Source organism: Homo sapiens, chromosome 15 (assembly GCF_000001405.40).
Source record: "Homo sapiens chromosome 15, GRCh38.p14 Primary Assembly".
NCBI classification, from domain to species: Eukaryota; Metazoa; Chordata; class Mammalia; order Primates; family Hominidae; genus Homo; species Homo sapiens.
This window is the reverse complement of record NC_000015.10, coordinates 20527266-20545792: the sequence shown is the minus strand read 5'-3', so window position 1 is coordinate 20545792 and position 18527 is coordinate 20527266. Positions and strand designations below refer to the sequence as shown.

The following is an 18527-nucleotide window of genomic DNA, read 5'->3' as shown; positions in this document are numbered from 1 at the left end:
CAGGAGGTGTGGGGCTGGCCCAGGAATTTGCATGTCTAACAAGTTCCCACGTGTTTCTGATGCTGAGGGTCTAAGGACTACAATGCATGAATCCGTGGTTTAGTGGATATCCACCTAATGAATACATGTTGTATTTCCTTTGGCACCCGTGATTACAGAGGAAACACCTTTCAACTGGAAGGTATCATTAAACAGAGGATAAGAGATCAGGTCAGTAAGAATTAAATTTCACTTAATTGAAATGTCACTCAAATGTTTAGAAATAATATGACAGGCCAGGCACAGTGGCTCATGCCTGTAATCCCAGCACTTTGGGAGGCCAAGGCAGACGGATCACTTGAGGTCAGGAGTTCGAGACCAGCCTGTCCAAGATGGTAAAACTTCCTCTCTACTAAAAATACAAAAATTAGCTGGGCATGGTGGTGCATGCCTATAGTCCCAGGTACTCGGGAGGCTGAGGCAGGGGAATCGCTTGATCTCGGGATATGGAGGTTGCAGTGAGCTGAGATGCGCCACCGCATTCCAGCCTGGGCAACAGAGTGAGACTCCATCTCAACATAAATAAATAAATAAATAAATAAATAAGATAAATAAGATAAATAAGATAAAAATAAAAATAAAGGGAAGATGGGGCAGCTTTGTGTATTGCATGTCCTGAAAATGGGCTGATTTCTCTCAAGAGGCAGGGATTTAAGCTCTGTAGCCTATGTGGGATACATACAGGAGAAAAAAGAAGAAAAAGAAAAGAAATGTAAATATAAATAAATGAAAATAACACTTTTCCATGATTATAAAGGAAATCACATTGTTTTTGTAATAATTTGGATGACAAAATGTAAAGAAAAATCTTTAATTTTGCCACTCAAAACATTCCGGTTTGTTGCTTTTCACACTTTTTATGCTGTAAACATTTTAAAAAGTAGAATCACAATACATGGTCTTTTGTCACTTACTATATTTTAAGCATGTTTCTATGGGAGAAATAAATATATCCTGGCATCATCACTTTCAACAGCTGGATGTATGTTAAGTGAATCATTGCCACCCCAGAGGTGGATTTCCTTCTATATATATTTTAATGGACTCGAGTGAGGATTTTTGCACTGAATTCATAGAAGTAGAATTTCTAGAAGAAAATAATATAAAACAGTTTTAGGATTTTTAAAACAAATGTTCAAATCATCCTATAGGAAAATTGGTTGAGTTTACGCTCCCACCAACAGGGACAGAGCTCCAGGTTCCGCCTTCCATTTGTCGTCTTCGCTGGTCTTTAAGCAGAAAATCTCATTGTTTTCATTACCTTTCTTTGATTTCTAGTGCTTTTGAATCTTTTTCATTTGCTCATTGGCCATTTTTATTCTTGTGGGAAGTGCTGGTTTCTCCATTGCCCATTTTCTGCTGCAAATCATTCATTTTTTTTTCTGAGTAATTTTAAAGATTTCTTTATAGGCTAAGGATACAAACCTTTAATCTGTCATTGAGTTTACAAAGATCTTCTCCCAGTAAGTAATTTGTCATTTCACTTTATTTATTTATTTTTTGCTAGCAAAGCACCAAAGTCAAATTTCACTTAATTTTTATCCTGCTGAATGAACACATTTTAAGTTAGTGATTTTAGTGGAAACAGGAGCAGGACAGAATGTAATAATTAGATCTCGCTCTGTCACCCCAACTGGAGTGCAGTGGCATGATCATAGCTACTGCAGCCTCAAACTTCTGGGCTCAAGTGATTTTCCCACCTCAGCCTCCCAAGTAGCTCTAGGACTACAGGTGTGTGCCGCCAAGCCCAGCTAATTTTTAAATTTTCTTTGTAGAGATATGAATTCGCTATGCTGCCCAGGCTGGTCTTTAACTCCTGACTTACCCCACCTTAGCTTGCCAATATGCTGGGAGTACGGGCGTGAACTACTGCTCCCAGCCAAGAGCTTACTTTGGTTTGCTAGCAAGGTTCTTGGTATCTTTTTATATTTGAGGCTTTCGTGCTAGTGCTGAAGTATTACACTCACCATCTGAGGTTTACAGGACTTTTGTTTTAATATTGAACCGAGGGAACTGTTTAGTTTTGCATCTTTGCAGGTATACAAAATGTGCCTACCAGGACTCTGCTTTATATCCATTGAAAAGCAAGAAGTAATACAGTAAAAGTTTGCCTGGCTACAGGCTTTGGAAGAATGGAGTATTCTGGTTTAATTCTATTAACTTGGAAGGATGAAGGTGGAAAAAATTCAAAACTTTAATTTCCTGTTGAATGCAATTTGAAAATATAGCCAATGAGTCCACTTTTCTTCTCTAGTAAGTTTGGACATTCAGATCTACTTGGTCTTTTATCATAGAACTCCTAGTGCGCCTGAGTCTTACGTTGTGAAAATCCTTTTCTAAAACTTTAGATGTAAGAGGATAGAAATGATATTGGATGAGATCAGGCTGGATGAGAACTGATACCTGTAGATATATTTTTTAGATGAAATCTCTGATTGCCACACGTTTTCTTATTGAACTCATAAAAATAAAACACACTGGCTGGAGGGTGGAAGTAGGAAGGAGATTTATGTCTTTTAATTGCATGTCATTGTTTCATATTGAGACAGAACATATAGTATCCCTGGCTTTGGACCTACAGAAGGAAACACATTTTTCTACCTGCTGTATGGCAGAGGTTCCTGAGCACCTGGAGGGATTATTGCAGCACGGATTGCTGGGCCCTACTGCAGAGTTTCTGATTCATTCATGTCTAGGGTGGGGCCTGAGAATTTACATTTATAAGAAGTTCCCAGGTGCTCCTGGTCCGGAGACTACATGTTTGAGAGCCACCCTTACATACTAACTGTAAATTGTAGAACTCTAGAAAAAAGCGTAGTTTGGACTGGGAGAAGAAGCACACAGGTAATGGAGCAAATCATGAAAAAGTCAACCCTTGATCCCAGGTAACAAGCAATACACAGTGACATAACACAATTCTTGGTTTTCATGATTGCAAGTCATAGCCAAGTATCGAGTGAGAAATTCAGTTTCATTTTCAGGGCTTAGAGGCCAGGTGATTCTAGAAAAATCGGATTTAGTGATTAACTCATGAGAGTAGGAGTTATTTATGTCCTTTTTCTCTCCCCCATCACTTAGCATTTAGCCTTACTTTAGAAGGGTCCTGTATTTGCTTTAACCTTGTAAAGAACTTTGAGTGCTTATTAAATGGAAAGCCTTGTGTGTGTGTGTGTGTGTGTGTGTGTGTGTGTGTCTGTGCGTGTGTGTGTGTGTGTGTCTGTGCGTGTGTGTGTGTGTGTGTGTATTTAGAGACAGAGTCACGTTCTGTAGCAGCCCAGGCTGAAGTGCAGTGGCATGATTTTGGCTCACTGCAACCTCTGCCTCACAGGTTCAAGGGATTCTCCTGCCTCAGCCTCCCAAGTAGCTAGGATTACAGGCACCTGCCACCATGCCCAGCTACTTTTGTATTTTTAGTAGAGACAGGATTTCATCATGTTGGCCAGGCTGGTCTTGAACTCCTGAATTCGGGTGATCCACCCGCCCCAGCCTCCCAAAGTGCTGGGATTACAGGCATGAGCCATCACGCCTGGCTCAAAGCTTTGTATTTTTAAAGATATTAGACATGTTTCTTGTTTGTTTGTTTTTTTTAAAAAAACTAAACGCTAATGTAGGAGAATAAGAGAAAGTTTTTCCAAAAAAGAGAAAACATTGTGATTATCTTATTGGAATGTTGGATAATAAAGTCTGCTTTATCAATCATCAAGCACACTATAAAATTTCCATTTTAATAGGACTTGTACCTCAATTGAGGTAATAAAGTTTTAAAGTTTTTAAAGTGAAAGCCAGCCCCGCCCCTCTCCTGGAGTGGGCGGGGACAGCGGTTGCATAGGCAGCTTTCCTTGTGACAACACAGGTCCTTCATGACACGCTGCTGTCTGGCCACACCTCCTTTTCCTTTCATCTTTCTCATTGACCAATGGGCTTCAAGCATGAAGGCCACACCCCTATTCTGCATTCTAGTGCAGCCCTGGTTACGCCTCCTCTGGCTCAGTCACACAGCGACGTAGAGGTGACTGGAGGTATATACTTGTCCTCACCTGGATCATGCTGATGTGGCCCCAACCCCACCTCCCTACCCATCCCCACCTCCCTACCCATCCCCACCTCCCTACCCATCCCCACCTCCCTACCCATCCCCACCTCCCTACCCATCCTATGATGTCCAAAGAAACCAGACAGAGCAAATTGGCCGAGGCCAAGGAACAGGTAAACGCACCAACACCCCAACCCAACCCGAGGCCCCCTCTGACAGCCGAACTGCTGCCAGAGTCTGTGCCACTCCTGAGGGACACCAGGCTGGGCCCCCCACCCCAGTGCCTCTGGGCTCCCCACACCAAAATCTTGTCAGCCAGCCCAACCCCCTCATAAGTCCTGCCCCTGCTCTGCCCGGCACACCAGGGTGACTTTGAGCAGGTGACTCCTGGGGCTTCCAACTCCATACTCCGCCCTTACCTCCTGCTACCCCAAACCCGACCTCCCTGGGCTCCTTGAGCTCACATCTCCAAGGACCTGGGTGCCCCAGAACCTGCCCTCACCAGTTGCCACAGGGTGACTTTGGGGATGTGACTCCTGGAGCTCCTTGCTCCTTAATTGGCCCTCACCTCCTGCCGCCCCAAGCCTGACCTCCCGGGGCTCTTTGGGGTCACGTCTCCAAGGACCTGGCTCCCAATTTTGTGACCCCCTCCCCAGTCTCAAAGCGGCAACTTGGGCATTGCACTCATGTGTCCCCCCCAACCACTCCACCGAGGAGTAGAATGTAGTGATGTCACAGTCCCGCTACAAACTGTCATTACTACCACAAGACCGGCCTTTGGTCTTAGGACCCAGTCCCCTAAGTGTTCTTGCCCACTTCTGTTTCCTCTGGTTGCAGCACAGGTTTCCAGCTGGAAGGGGAATGGGGACTGTGGGACCTAGAAGAGAGAGGTTTCAGGCTGCCTGACTTCCTTACCACAGACCTTGACAGTGTGAAAAGCCTACACCTCCCCCATGAGCTCAACACGTTGACAGTGTCTCTGGGTGGCAATGGGAGAATGGGTTTGGTTTGGTTTTCTCCCAGGCTTCTACTCTCCAGAGAGACTTTAACATTTTTTCTCAGTTCTGCACCTCAGATTTGAATTCTCCATTGTTCTGGGACCAGAGTGCCCCTCAGTCACTGGTTCTGGAGTGAGATCTGCTTATCTTCTGTGGAACAGATCTTGGGAAACTGAACTTAGCTTGAGTCTTCCTCATCTCATCTCAACCTGGGGTACTTTGAGTGCCACAGGATAAATATGGGGCATCTTTCTGAAGCATCAGTTTCCCTTGATTCTATTGAGAGGCAAAACATTAATGTACTTAGGGATGAAAGTCACATAGATTTATAAGCGTATACAAGACTTCTCTCTGAAATGAGGCTTGGGTTGTCCTCTTTCTGTTAAATTCCCAGATTTAGCAGAAAGGCTGCCTTCTGCCATGAGGAGACATTGATGTAAAGGTTTGAGAGGTACTGGTGTACTTTTTAACACTAACAGACGTGTGAGGGTGAATAACCCTAAACCACATAGTGCACAGTTCCTGCCTACTTAATATTTGCTTTTCTACCTCTGCCTCTGGTTTTGGTCCCTGGCAGCTGCTGATTTAGGGCAAAATCCCAGAGCTCAGAGTCAGAAGACTGAGTTTAAGTTCCATTACTGCCTTTTTTTTCAGCCATGGTATCAATCTCTCTCAGTCACTAAGTGATTGTGACAACATTTCCTACAGTTGGTGGCATTAAATCAGATGGTCTATAAGAGTATTTAGTATAAACTGTAAAGCAGGATGTGACTGTAGGAGCTTGTAGTTCTCATGAGTATCACTGCTCTTCCTTTCCACAGTTGACAGACCATCATCCCCAGACCAACCCTAGTGTTGGTACAGCAGCAAGCGACACCAAAAAGAAGAAAATAAATAATGGCACTAACCCTGAGACAACCACTTCTGGTGGTTGCCACTCGCCTGAGGATGTGAGTCTTGGCTGGCCGGGCTCCTGGGGACAGAGGGCCCAAGGGGTGGTGGAGGGTAATTGTTAAGATTGTGGAAGAACTGCCAGGTACTGGCTAAGAATTCTGGGTTTGAATCCTACCCCTCCATCTGCTAGGGATATGATTTAGCGCAAATTGCTTGAGCTCTTTGGGCCTCTCTTTTCACATCCGTAAAATACGAGTGGTATTGTTTTCCTTACGTTTGTGAAGTTTAAATGAGATTTGTCATTGTGTTTTTATGTTAATCCCTCGTCCAGGACCTGCTGTAAACTCTCCTTCTTGGGCTTGCGTTTCCTGAGGTAGAGTTAGAGAGTATCAGAGGTTTCTGTTAGCTCTGAGAGCCCGAGAGTTAAAGGCCCACTAGAATGGAAACCTCGGGGCCAAGGGCTCCTGTCTGCCTTTTCTGACCTCTATTCCCGCTGTGAAGAACCGTCCCTGGCCCGTATGTGCTCAACGTTTGCTGAGTGAATGCACCTTTCTAAATCACAAGCTGGCGGAAGGGTGGGCTTTTCTCGCACTCCACCTCTGAAGGTTTCTGTTAGTATCTTTTCAAGAGAATCTAGTTTCAGACTTTGAGTTCTGTGGCTGTGGGCAAAAACCAAAAAGACCCAAATCCTTCTTCTTTGGGAGTTGAGGAGAGTTGACCAGTTCATGTTCCCATTGGGTCTGAGAACTGTGCCTTTTAAATCCATTCCTGGCCCCTGCCTATCGCTTCCTGGCCTGGGGAATAGAGTCAAGGGGGCCACCCTCAGTCACCTTCCTTTGACTCTCCCCACAGAAACAATAGAACTGAGCTCAGCTGGAAGAAGTAGTGTGATTTCTTTGCTCACGACATGACCGCTGGGTTTGGGGGCACTCAGATGTAGAGGCCCCAGGCTCATCTCACCCACTCCCAGCCTGGGGAAGAAGGCTCACCCCCAAGATTCCACCCCATCCCCACAGGGTCCCTGATAAACTGGTCCCATGGGTGGGCCTGTTCTGGGGCAGTGGTGCCATTCTGGGGGCATGTCTCTTGCTGTGCCATCTCTGCCTCCACCTAGCAAGAGCTCTGTTTTCCTCTTTCTATAGGAACAGAAGGCAAGCCATCAACATCAGGAAGCCCTAAGGAGGGAGCTAGAGGTGAGTGGAGGGTGTGAAGTTCCCTCCTGCCCTCTGGAGAATGTTTCTTTGCTTCTCTTTCAGCATTTGCTTGTCTTTTCTCCCAAAGGCCCAGGTTCATACCATACGAATCCTTACATGTCAGAAAACTGAGCTTCAGATGGCACTCTACTACAGCCAGCATGCTGTCAAGCAGTTGGAAGGTGGGAATCTGGCACCCCATCATCCTTCAACCTGGCACTTTGACAGGCCTTTAGGGGGAGTCCTTTGGGCCACATCTGAATGTCTCTCATTCCAGGAGAGGCCAGGGATCTGATCAGCCGCCTGCATGATTCATGGAAGTTTGCAGGAGAGTTAGAGCAGGCTCTCTCTGCTGTCGCTACACAGAAGAAGAAGGCAGATAGGGTGAGTCCAAACACGGCCCCGTCCCTTGGGAGCCCAGCTTCGCAGATGGAGGAGTGAGCCTAAAGGTCCCTTCTGTAGGATGGAGTGTCCTGCCCAGAAGGCAGCATGGCCATTTCTTGCTGCTTTTGTGTGTGGTTGTTAGAGGCAGACTGGGGCTGAGTCGGCTGTTGTGGGTGAGTTGGGGAGCACTGTGGGGAGCGAGCACTGGACATAGAGCTCAGAGGCCAAGTGCCCGCCCTGCCCATACTTGGCTGTGGCCTTGGCCAAGTCCTAAGTGGCGGTTAGGGTACTTGTACCATAAAGGTACAGAAGAGTATCTTGAGTATGTTATTATTTGTGTGGAGAGAGGGGGCAGGTGTATATGTGTGTGTGTGTACGTATTATGGTAACATACATAAAACACGTTTGTAAGGATTCATTAAAAAACTCAGGATAGAGGCACAGTGTTGGGGGGAGATATTTCCCTTCTGGACTTTCTGAGTTTTGGACTATGCGAACGTATCATCCTTTCAAAAATTCAACAAAGGATTAATTTCCTCCTTCTTAACTGTGCCCCTACCTCCAGCGGAAGAATGGGCTTAGAGAATCAGATATACCTGGGTGTTGAAATCCCAGCTCCAAGTGATCTTAGGCAGCACTTAACCTTTAATACCGCATGTTTTTCATCTACACAATAGAGGTAATAATGGTAACCATCTCCTATGGAGGTTGTGAGGATTAAATGGGATTGTTAGCATAGTGCCTGGTGAAGCACTCAAGAAAGGTTCGAACAGTGGTAGTACTAACAGTAATAGCAATAACAATATTACCTGATCGCTCTGGGCCCCTGTTAGCCAGCTCTAAATTCAATCTCTTTCCCTGTCCCTTCCACATTCACTGAGTTCTTTGAAAAACAAATGAGGGCCAGGTGCTCTCGCTCACGCCTGTAATGCCAGCACTTTGGGAGGCTGAGGTGGGCGGATCACCTGCGGTCAGGAGTTCAAGACTAGACTGACCAACACGAAGAAACCCCGTCTCTACTAAAAATACAAAATTAGCCCGGTGTGGTGGCACATGCCTGTAATCCCAACTACTCGGGAAGCTGAGGCAGGAGAATTGCTTGAACCCAGGAGGTGTAGGTTGTGGTGAGCTGAGATTGTGCCATTGCACTCCAGTGAGGGCAACAAGAATGAAACTCTGCCAAAAAAAAAAAAAAAAAAGAAAGAAAGAAAGAAAGAAAAACAAATGAGACCATGGGCTTGGAAATGCCTTGAGAACATGTCAGGTGTGATTGAGAGTGAGGAAGTGTTACTGTGGAGTAGTCACTGTAGCAGTTGTTCCTGGTCGTCCAGCTACTGCTGTGCCTGCTCTATCCTGACTTAACCTTTCTCTATTTGCAGTACATTGAGGAGTTAACAAAGGAGAGGGACGCCCTGAGTCTGGAACTGTACAGGAACACGTAGGATGGGGGAAGGTGGAATGGGAGGTCTGGGGGCCCTTAGCATGGGTGGTGTGCTGGGAGGTGGGGGGTCCAGGTGAGTGTGGGGAGAGGCTCATACATGTTTTCATGTGTGCACACGGAAGCTCTAGTGCTGGCTGTGCCACTGACTCATGGGGTAGCCTCAGGCAACTCATGTCTTCTCTCTGGCCTGCCACCTGGGACTTTTAATTCCTGGGGTCCCTTCCAGCGCCACGGTTCTGTGGTTGTGGGGCGAGGGTAGGGGGTCAATCACCAAAGTGGTCTTTTATGTTCTTCATTCATTCCTTTCTCTACTGCCTCTGGCCATAGGATAACTGATGAGGAGCTGAAGGAGAAAAATGCCGAACTACAAGAAAAACTTCAACTTGTAGAATCTGAAAAGTCTGAGATCCAGCTCAACGTAAAGGAGCTAAAAAGGAAACTGGAGAGGGCCAAGCTCCTGCTGCCACAGGTGAGCAGCTGCAGCCCCGGGGGTTGTGGGAGACCCATCCAGCTGGGACCATGGTCTAGGGATCATGCAGGGTATGGGGAGGCTCCAGCCAAGAGCTGGAAAATTTGGGTCCTTGTTCTGGTCCCGCCATAGAATCCTCTAGAGTGTACTAAAAATGTACAAATTGGGGCCCTGCCTGGGGAATCAGAATCTCAAGAGTTAGGGCTTAAAAATATTTTTTTAAAGGATCATGGATGAAAACCATTATTTTATAGATTACATTTATTTATTTATTTATTTATTTATTTATTTATTTGAGAAGTAGTCTCACTCTGTCACCCAGGCCAGAGTGCAGTGGCGCAATCTCGGCTCACTGCAAGCTCCACCCCCCGGCTTCACGCCATTCTCCTGCCTCAGCCTCCCAAGTAGCTGGGACTACAGGTGCCCACCACCACACCCAGCTAATTTTTTGTATTTTTAGTAGAGACGGGGTTTCACTGTGTTAACCAGGATGGTCTCGATCTCCTGACCTCGTGATCCGCCCACCTCGGCCTCCCAAAGTGCTGGGATTACAGGCGTGAGCCACCGCACCCAGCCTATAGATTACATTTATGTGGCTAGCTCATGATTCTGCTTCCTTCTGAGGTTCAAAAAAACACTTTCACTATTCCAGCAGCAGCTGCAGGCGGAGGCTGACCACCTGGGTAAGGAGCTGCAGAGTGTGTCAGCAAAGCTCCAAGCCCAGGTGGAAGAGAACGAGTTGTGGAACCGCCTGAACCAGCAACAGGAGGAGAAGATGTGGAGGCAGGAGGAGAAGATACAGGAGTGGGAGGAGAAGATACAGGAGCAGGAGGAGAAGATACGGGAGCAGGAGGAGAAGATACGGGAGCAGGAGGAGAAGATGCGGAGGCAGGAGGAGATGATGTGGGAGAAGGAGGAGAAGATGCGGAGGCAGGAGGAGATGATGTGGGAGAAGGAGGAGAAGATGCGGAGGCAGGAGGAGATGATGTGGGAGAAGGAGGAGAAGATACGGGAGCTGGAAGAGAAGATGCACGAGCAGGAGAAGATACGGGAGCAGGAAGAGAAGAGGCAGGAGGAGGAGAAGATACGCGAGCAGGAGAAGAGGCAGGAGCAGGAGGCGAAGATGTGGAGGCAGGAGGAGAAGATACGGGAGCAGGAAGAGAAGATACGGGAGCAGGAGAAAAAGATGTGGAGGCAGGAGGAGAAGATTCATGAGCAGGAGAAGATACGGGAGGAGGAGAAGAGGCAGGAGCAGGAGGAGATGTGGAGGCAGGAGGAGAAGATAAGGGAGCAGGAGGAGATATGGAGGCAAAAGGAGAAGATGCACGAGCAGGAGGAGAAGATACGGAAGCAGGAGGAGAAGGTGTGGAGGCAGGAGGAGAAGATACGGGAGCAGGAGGAGAAGATACGGGAGCAGGAGGAGAAGATGTGGAGGCAGGAGGAGAAGATACGGGAGCAGGAGGAGATGTGGAGGGAGGAAGAGAAGATGCATGAGCAGGAGAAGATATGGGAGGAGGAGAAGAGGCAGGAGCAGGAGGATAAGATGTGGAGGCAGGAGGAGAAGATACGGGAGCAGGAGGAGAAGGTGTGGAGGCAGGAGGAGAAGATACGGGAGCAGGAGGAAAAGAGGCAGGAGCAGGAGGAGAAGATGTGGAAGCAGGAGGAGAAGATAAGGGAGCAGGAGGAGAAGATACGGGAGCAGGAGGAGAAGATACGGGAGCAGGAGGAGAAGATACGAGAGCAGGAGGAGATGACGCAGGAACAGGAAGAGAAGATGGGGGAGCAGGAGGAGAAGATGTGTGAGCAGGAAGAGAAGATGCAAGAACAGGAGGAGACGATGTGGAGGCAGGAGGAGAAGATAAGGGAGCAGGAGAAGAAGATACGGGAGCAGGAGGAGAAGATACGAGAGCAGGAGGAGATGATGCAGGAACAGGAAGAGAAGATGTGGGAGCAGGAGGAGAAGATGTGTGAGCAGGAAGAGAAGATGCAAGAACAGGAGGAGAAGATGCGGAGGCAGGAGGAGAAGATGTGGGAGCAGGAAGTGAGGCTGCGGCAGCAGGAGGAGAAGATGCAGGAACACTAGGTGAGGCTGCAGGAGCTGGAGGAGAGGCTGGGGAAGCTGGGGCAGAAGGCCGAGCTCTTGGGGGGAGCAGGCGGAGGTGTGTGCAAACCCTGGAGATCATACAGAACGACCTCACCACAACTTAGCAGATGGTGGTTGGCTCCCTCTGCTTTTCCACCAGTCTGTGGCCTACAGTTTAAATGGTGGGAAGAAGGGTGTGAGATTTGAGGCTGGGGAGGGAGGCATGGGCCTCTAGGCAAGGGAGGCAGTCATTTAGGCCTGGAGGAAGGGGCCAGGGCCAGGGGCCTGGGTAGGCGACAGAGCCCCGCAGTGCCCTCACTACCCTGTTTATGGGCCCAGAATCTGGAAGCCAGCCACTACCTACCCTGACGCCTATCCTGCAGGTGGAGCTGAAGAGCCAAGAGGCTGAGTCTGCAGCAGCAGCGAGACCATTACCTGGGTCACCTGCAGCAGTACGTGGCCGCCTATCAGCAGCTGGCCTCTGAGAAGGAGGCACTGCCCAGCTGCAGCAGCAGGAAGCTCAGGGCGAAGCGGTGGCCGAGATGGCCCACCAATAGTTGCAGGAGACCCGGTTGAGGGAGTTGATGAGGGCGGGGCCCCAAGGGGGATGATCTGGCAACCTCCGTGCCTTCTCACTCTCTTTCCTGGCCCCTTAGGAGCACCTGGAAGCTGCCATCTAATGAGCACATGACAAGAAGGCAAAGACAATAAACATGTAAAAGCCGGCAGCAAGGCCTGGAGAAGAGTAAGCCGCCATGTGACTGTTTAGAATATAGTCTGAGCACAAACCTGAAAAAAAAATTTTATTTATTTTAAATTGTGGCAAAATACTGGCCAGGCATGGTAGCTCACGCCTGTAATCCTAGCAATTTGGGAGGCCGAGGTAAATGGATGACCTGAGGTCAAGAGTTCAAGACCAGCCTGGCCAATACAAAAATTAGCCGGGCATGGTGGCGCATGCCTGTAATCCCAGCTACTTGGGAGGCTGAGGCAGGAGAATCGCTTGAACCTGGGAGGCAGAGGTTGCAGTGAGCTGAGATCGTGCCACTGCACTCAAGCCTGGTGACAGAGCGAAACTCCGTCTCAAAAAAAAAAGTTTCTTCCTTACATGTATGTTTCTATTAGTTTTCTTCTTGGTCTTTCTCATTTAGTCTTGTGTTGTCTTTTGACATTCATAGTAAACTTTTATCTGCCTCCAGAGAGTATTGACTTTGAGTTTATGGCACACAATTGGAGTAAGGGCAGATCGCCTTCATCTACTTTGGGACTAAGCTGGTTCAAAGCAGGTTTTAGGTTTTCTGATGGCTGGTCTATGTTTTATTCATTTGGACTCCCAGGGGTGGCCCTTCCAGGGTCCCCACCAAGGTCCCATCTCCTTCCTGGGACCCAAATTCTCATTAGGTCATTTCAGCCCTGTGAGAGTGCCAAACATTCAGCTAGGCTCTCCAGCCTCTTAACTACCACTTCATACTCAGTTTCTTAGCCTCTTAGCCCTCTACTGTTGACCAATCACCAAATGTGGGAAAGCACTACAGACTGTCAGGATCACCTCCTAGGCCTGGTCACTCAAGTCCTGACTGAGGTCTCCAATTACCTTCCAACAATTGTTTTTGATTGGGGGCGGGGCACATTTTTATCCAGTTTTTCTAACTGCTCTTGTGGGGAGGCGAATCCGTAACAAGCTCCTCTGCCTTTACTGAAAGTTGAAAACCTTCATCTGTCCTTTTTTTGTTGTTTTTGAGATGGAGTATTGCGCTGTTGCCCAGGCTCTAGTGCAATGGCACGATCTCTGCTCACTGTAACCTCTGCCTCCTGGGTTCAAGCAATTCTCCTGCCTCAGCTTCCCGAGTAGCGTGTGCCACCATGCCTGGCTAATTTTTTTTTATACCTTTAATAGAGGCAGGATTTCACCATGTTTTCCAGGCTGGTCTCGAGCTCCTGACTCAGGTGATCTACCTGCCTCAGCCTCCCAAAGTGCTGGGATTACAAGTATGAGCCACTGCATCTGGCCCATCTGTCTTTTAAAACATGTTTTTAATTGGAGGTATAATTTCTATTAGTGAAATGCACAGGTCTGGTTTACATTTTGATGAGTTTTAACTCATTTAACATTACTATGGAACCCACCTCCTTTGAAGATACAGAGTATTTCTATCATCCAGAAAGTTCTCCTGTGCTTTCATGCTGTCCCGCACTCCCCCAGCAGCTGATGAACATGCTGAGGACATTGGTACTGGATTCTGGCCGCCCCAAAAGAGCCGCTTTGACCAGGCTTACCCAGCACTAAATCCCTGCCTGCTCTCTCAAAATTTCCATCTTTAAACTGGTTGTACCTATAACCCTCCCTCATCAAGTCAATAGATAAACAAACCCTGAAAAATAAACAACTCTTCCTGGCCCAGCAGCCCACAGCCTAATATTTACTGTATTCCCAGGCTTTCAGAAATGTAACTCGCCTGCCGGTTCACCCTCACTAGGGCGGCAGCTGCACGGGAGCAGCTGGGCTCACCCATTAAGCAAGAAGCCAATAGCTGGACAGTGACACTCAGACCCCAGCCTGGGCGAGCCTGGCTGAAAGCCCCCTTCTTTCCATCCGACTGCGGAGAAAGGGGGCGGAGCACACACAACTCTACTGCCCTCCACATCCTTCACCTGTGCTTCCTCCTGGGAGAGGGAGCCGCTCATTAATTTGGCCAAAGCCTTCTTGAGGGCTGTAGGTTTCACAGGCTGGGTGTGTGGGGGCCACCGTGCTAGAGACAGAGGCTGGTGTGTCAGAAGGCAGCCACCTGGCCAGAGGGGGGTCAACCCCCTTGGTGACCTCCTTCCCCCGGCTGGACACAGTGCCCTGCACTCTCTACATGTGACTGTTCCCCTCAGAGCTGCTTCCAGGGGAGGGGTTCTAATCCTGTGGGTGGGGACATTGTGTTACTTTACAGTGGGCCATGGCTCCCTCTGACATCTCCAACTCAGAGGCAGTAGAGAGAAGATGAGAAATTCCCTGCCCCTCCTCCCTCAGCACCCCCACCTCTGCACACGTCCACATGTGGAGACCCTGACAATGGGCCCTGGGAGTGCTGCCATCTGTGCCTGCTTTCCATGCCTGCAGCAGCCATGCCCACTCTCCAGACCCTCACCCGCCTGGGTCAGTAGACGCTTCACTGCCTGTGGTCCTGCGCCTACACCTGGGCCTCTGTACCCGTCAGTTCCCCCAGTCTGGTTCTTATTCCCTGCAAAGAGTAGGGAGCCTATAAGGTCACCTGTTGAGCAAGCTGGGGGAGAGAGTAGGGTGGGGCTGGGAGGATGAGGAGGAGAAGCTCATGGTCGTGCTGGAGACTCAGCTGAGCAGAGTCTCTGCAGGCCCATTGGCTGCCTAGCCAGTGGTGATCTCGCTCCCACCCTCATTTCTTCTTTGTTAACAAAACCATGACCTCATTAAATACTGGACACCTATAAACCTCATGGACCCTCCTCCAGCCTCCCCACCGTGTACTGGTGAGTCTAAGTCAACTCTAGTCATTTCATTCCTCTGGACATTGACTGCTTAGGGCTTGGGCATGAGCTGCCTCTTCACCTGAGCCTGAGCCACAGGTACCCTCTGCACCTACCACGCTGATGCACTGGGCCAGGGAGAGCGCCGTCTGGATGGAGATGAGCTGTGAGGAGCTGGTGGCTGGGCGGATCAGGTTGTTGTAACAGGTTTTGTTCAGAAGGTCGTCCATCAGTTTCTGCTCGGCATGGGCCATGCGGCAGTCCCCTGGGTAAACACACAGACATGCTGGGCCCTTGTGCAGCTGTCTCCCACTGCAGCTGACAGCTATGAAGCAGGAGCTGAGAGGGCCAGGGAGCACAGACACCCTGAGAGCTGGCTGAAGCAGTGAAGGTGCTGGCCGGCCTGGCTTTCCCTGGGGACTTCAAATGACATTCACGACAGAGCTCAGCTACCTCCTCCCCATGCCATACCTCTTCCTCCTCCTCCTCCCTCCGTCAATGAACAGCATCCCACGCTCTACACATCTGATACAAAACTGGGTGTCTCTTCCTGACTCCTCCCTTGGTTCACCCAAGTGGCCACCAAGTCCTGTCTGTCCTCCCATCTCCACGGCTACAGCCATGTCCCTGCCTCCCCCGCCCTGCCCACCTTCTGTTCTCTCCACCTGCACTCTGCCCCTGCCATCCATGTGCCATACAGTGGCAGACTGATCTTTCTACAGCAAACTGGACGAGGGCCCTTCCCTACCCACAGCTCTCAGAGCTGGAGGTGGAGTTGAAGCTCATGTTTTGGCTTGGCATTCAGAGCTCTTTCCCCCTCAGCACTGGCTTATCCAGAGTGCTCACAGTGCAGGGCAGGAGCCTCGTGACTCAAATGTGGGTTTGGTGCAGAACTGGGTCTGAGGTGGTGCTTTCCCTATGAAGAGACAGGGCCGACATGGGGGAATTTTCTGGGTTCAAAGTTAGACCTAGAGAGTGCAAAGTTTCTCTGAGGCACCAAATGGAGGGGTCCAGCTAGCAGCTGGCCCCTGGTCTGGAGCTTCAAGGAGAGATCTCAGCTCAGAGCCACATTCAATAGCCAGCTTACATGTGGCCTCCTGCAGGGAGCCCCTGGAGCTTCCACAGCCTCCGTTCTGCCCCTCTGCATACCCCAGATCTCCTGCTAAGTGGCGTTTGGGTCTTCATGTCATCTCCCTCCCATGTCTGGGAGTAAAGGTGAGGTGCAGAGACTTGCACTTGTGTACTCTGGTGTCTTAAGGGAGAGTGTGTCAAGTAGAGTGGAGGCGGCTTGGAAAGAGGGAGACTCAGAGGAGAGTGAAGGACACATGACCAGGCGAGCCTGGGAGCAGGAAAAGAGAGTGAGCAGAGGCAACTGCTGGGTCAGGGGAGCGGATGGGAGGATCAGGGAATGCGGGGGGGCTGGAGAGGTAGGGGTGGGGATGTTGGCGAGGGGCTGCCTGGCTCGCCAGGCTCAGGAGTCAGTTACATCCTCCCACAAGGGCCAGCTCACCTGGTCGCCCCAAAGACCTCCCTCTGTGGGTGGGACCAGAGGGCCAAGAGCACAGATAACCCAATTGAGCAGGACTGAGGCGGACTCAGGTGGGTGCTGGGCCGGACTCCTGGCTGTGGGGAGCAGCCACCACCCTGCCTATTGCATCCACTTTCCAACTCGCTGCCTATCTGAGCAGATGCGATATTGGGCACCTTGTGAAACATGCTCCTGGTGCACCTGCTGCCTGCTGCCCCTCCTGCAGAGTGCCCGGGCTCTCCAGAGGGGATTCCTATGGAGGCTTGGCCTAGATTCTGAGTCCTGCCTCTCATACCTGGGGCTGCTACCCCAGAGGCCAGCTGCTTGAGTACCCCGGAAGCCAGTCTGTAGCCCCAGGCTACAGCTGGGTCCATCCCACAGCCCTTCTCTAATGTACCTATTTGGACTGGCTGCTCATTTCATAGAGAGGGGTGTGTCTTGCCCCAGACCATCTGGCATGTCTAAGGCAGCTGTGGGGTCAGAATCTGCAGCTCCCAGCCCTCAGCCCAGCAATAGTAGGAAAGGCTGGACCCCACATCTCTGAAGTCCCACTGGGTTGGTGCGAGCGGGCTCCCGAGTACAGGGCTGCTCTGCAGGCTGTGGGGCTCATGCGCCAGCTCTGAGCCCACCTGATGTGCTCACGTTGCTCACCTTTGGGCCTGTCCGGCCTCTCAGTCATTCGGCTGACCCTGAGGGCCTCTCCCTCATCTTGACCACCAGCTATGGGCTCTGATTTAGAGGTTCCCAGAACCTTAGACCATTTGGCCGGCCCCCCATTTCTCACCTGAGGAAACTGAGACCAGAGAGGGATAGCAACTTTCTCAAGGACCCCCAGCAATTCAGAGGCAGAACCAGGTCTAGGAGCCTCTTCTCGATAGAGGTTCCCCCTGTCCCCTGAGCCTTCGTTAGTGCCTCATTAACTTCCCTGTAAGGAAACTGCCCCGCTGAGGCTGGAAATGGTGCTGTCCAGAGTGGTGTGTGCCAGTGACTGTGCTTGTGTTTGTACTTGTGAGTGTGTATGGGGGTGGGGATGAGGGGTGGGAATAAACGGCAGGGATTCTGGGGGCTGGATGCACTCCACCTCACCCCAAAAAGGGGCGCAGGAGAGCCCAGCCAAGCACAGCACATGCTTCGACTTTCCAATCTGCTGAATGCCTGTGAGGCCGGCTGGGCCCAGAAGACAAGGGACAGGCCTTTCCCCATAGATGGCAGGGGGGGCCCAGGATGGGTGGAAGCTTCTGCCGCAGCTTTGGGGGTCACAACCCAGCCCATGGGCTGACACTTAAGCAGAAAAGCCACCTCTAGGGGTCAGTCATAATCTAGTGATTCTGATGAGGAGGGCCCCACCAACCTCTGTCCAGGGTCTTGTCTGGGAAAAACTGCTCCCTGGCAGAAAGAGGCTAATAATTTGAGAGGAAGCCATAGCTGAAACCCTAAGCTGTGTGAGTGTGTGTCCAGTTTGAGAAAGCATATCCGACTTAAACATTTGTATTGAAAAAATGGAAACATATTCCCCTTGTTTTGGAATACAAACTGCAGAAAGCAGCAGTTAACAGAATCTTATCGGAAAGGTCAGATTCTGCATCTGGAAAGGCACAGTGATTTTCAACTGTGGTGTGTGTCCTTAACTGAGGAAGGGAAGGTGAGATTTATGTTTAGTAAAAGGCAGCTATGAATTTACCTTTTATAAAGAGCTTGCTATATACTATTAGTGCTTTTCAGTCATGTCAGAATCAGCCAGATGCCTGTGGAAATGCAAATTCCCAGGCTTCATTCCCAGAGATTCTGGTCCTGTGAGCCTAGGGTGGGGCCCAGAAATCTCTATGGGGTGGTGCAGCCTGCCCCAGGACCACACCAAGAAACACTGCAACTGGCCCACACACATCCCAGTCCACAAATATGTAGGCAGGCATCTTATCTCCACAGAACAGATAGGGAAACTGAGGTCAGAGTGGGGAAAGAAACGTCATGGGGCC

General features: G+C 49.8%; 1 protein-coding gene across 1 annotated transcript, besides 2 other annotated features; it reads left to right on the top strand.

Annotated features, from left to right (window-relative positions):
* Positions 1-3992: 3992 nt before the first annotated feature.
* GOLGA6L6 (golgin A6 family like 6 (gene/pseudogene)) lies at positions 3993-13937 on the top strand. Its single transcript, NM_001145004.2, has 9 exons — positions 3993-4245; positions 5892-6020; positions 7107-7157; positions 7246-7339; positions 7435-7541; positions 8921-8979; positions 9310-9451; positions 10104-11534; positions 12191-13937. Exons 1-8 carry the CDS (start codon positions 4084-4086, stop codon positions 11532-11534), a joined length of 2175 nt encoding a protein of 724 aa, NP_001138476.2. The 5' UTR covers positions 3993-4083; the 3' UTR covers positions 12191-13937.
* Positions 11921-12422: an enhancer, noted in NCBI's record as "H3K4me1 hESC enhancer chr15:20738609-20739110 (GRCh37/hg19 assembly coordinates)". NCBI's record gives its function as "activates a minimal SCP1, AML or CMV promoter by ChIP-STARR-seq in primed H9 embryonic stem cells {active_cell/tissue: H9 hESC(primed)}" and the evidence as "EXISTENCE:reporter gene assay evidence [ECO:0000049][PMID:30033119]".
* Positions 14080-14580: an enhancer, noted in NCBI's record as "H3K4me1 hESC enhancer chr15:20736451-20736951 (GRCh37/hg19 assembly coordinates)". NCBI's record gives its function as "activates a minimal SCP1, AML or CMV promoter by ChIP-STARR-seq in primed H9 embryonic stem cells {active_cell/tissue: H9 hESC(primed)}" and the evidence as "EXISTENCE:reporter gene assay evidence [ECO:0000049][PMID:30033119]".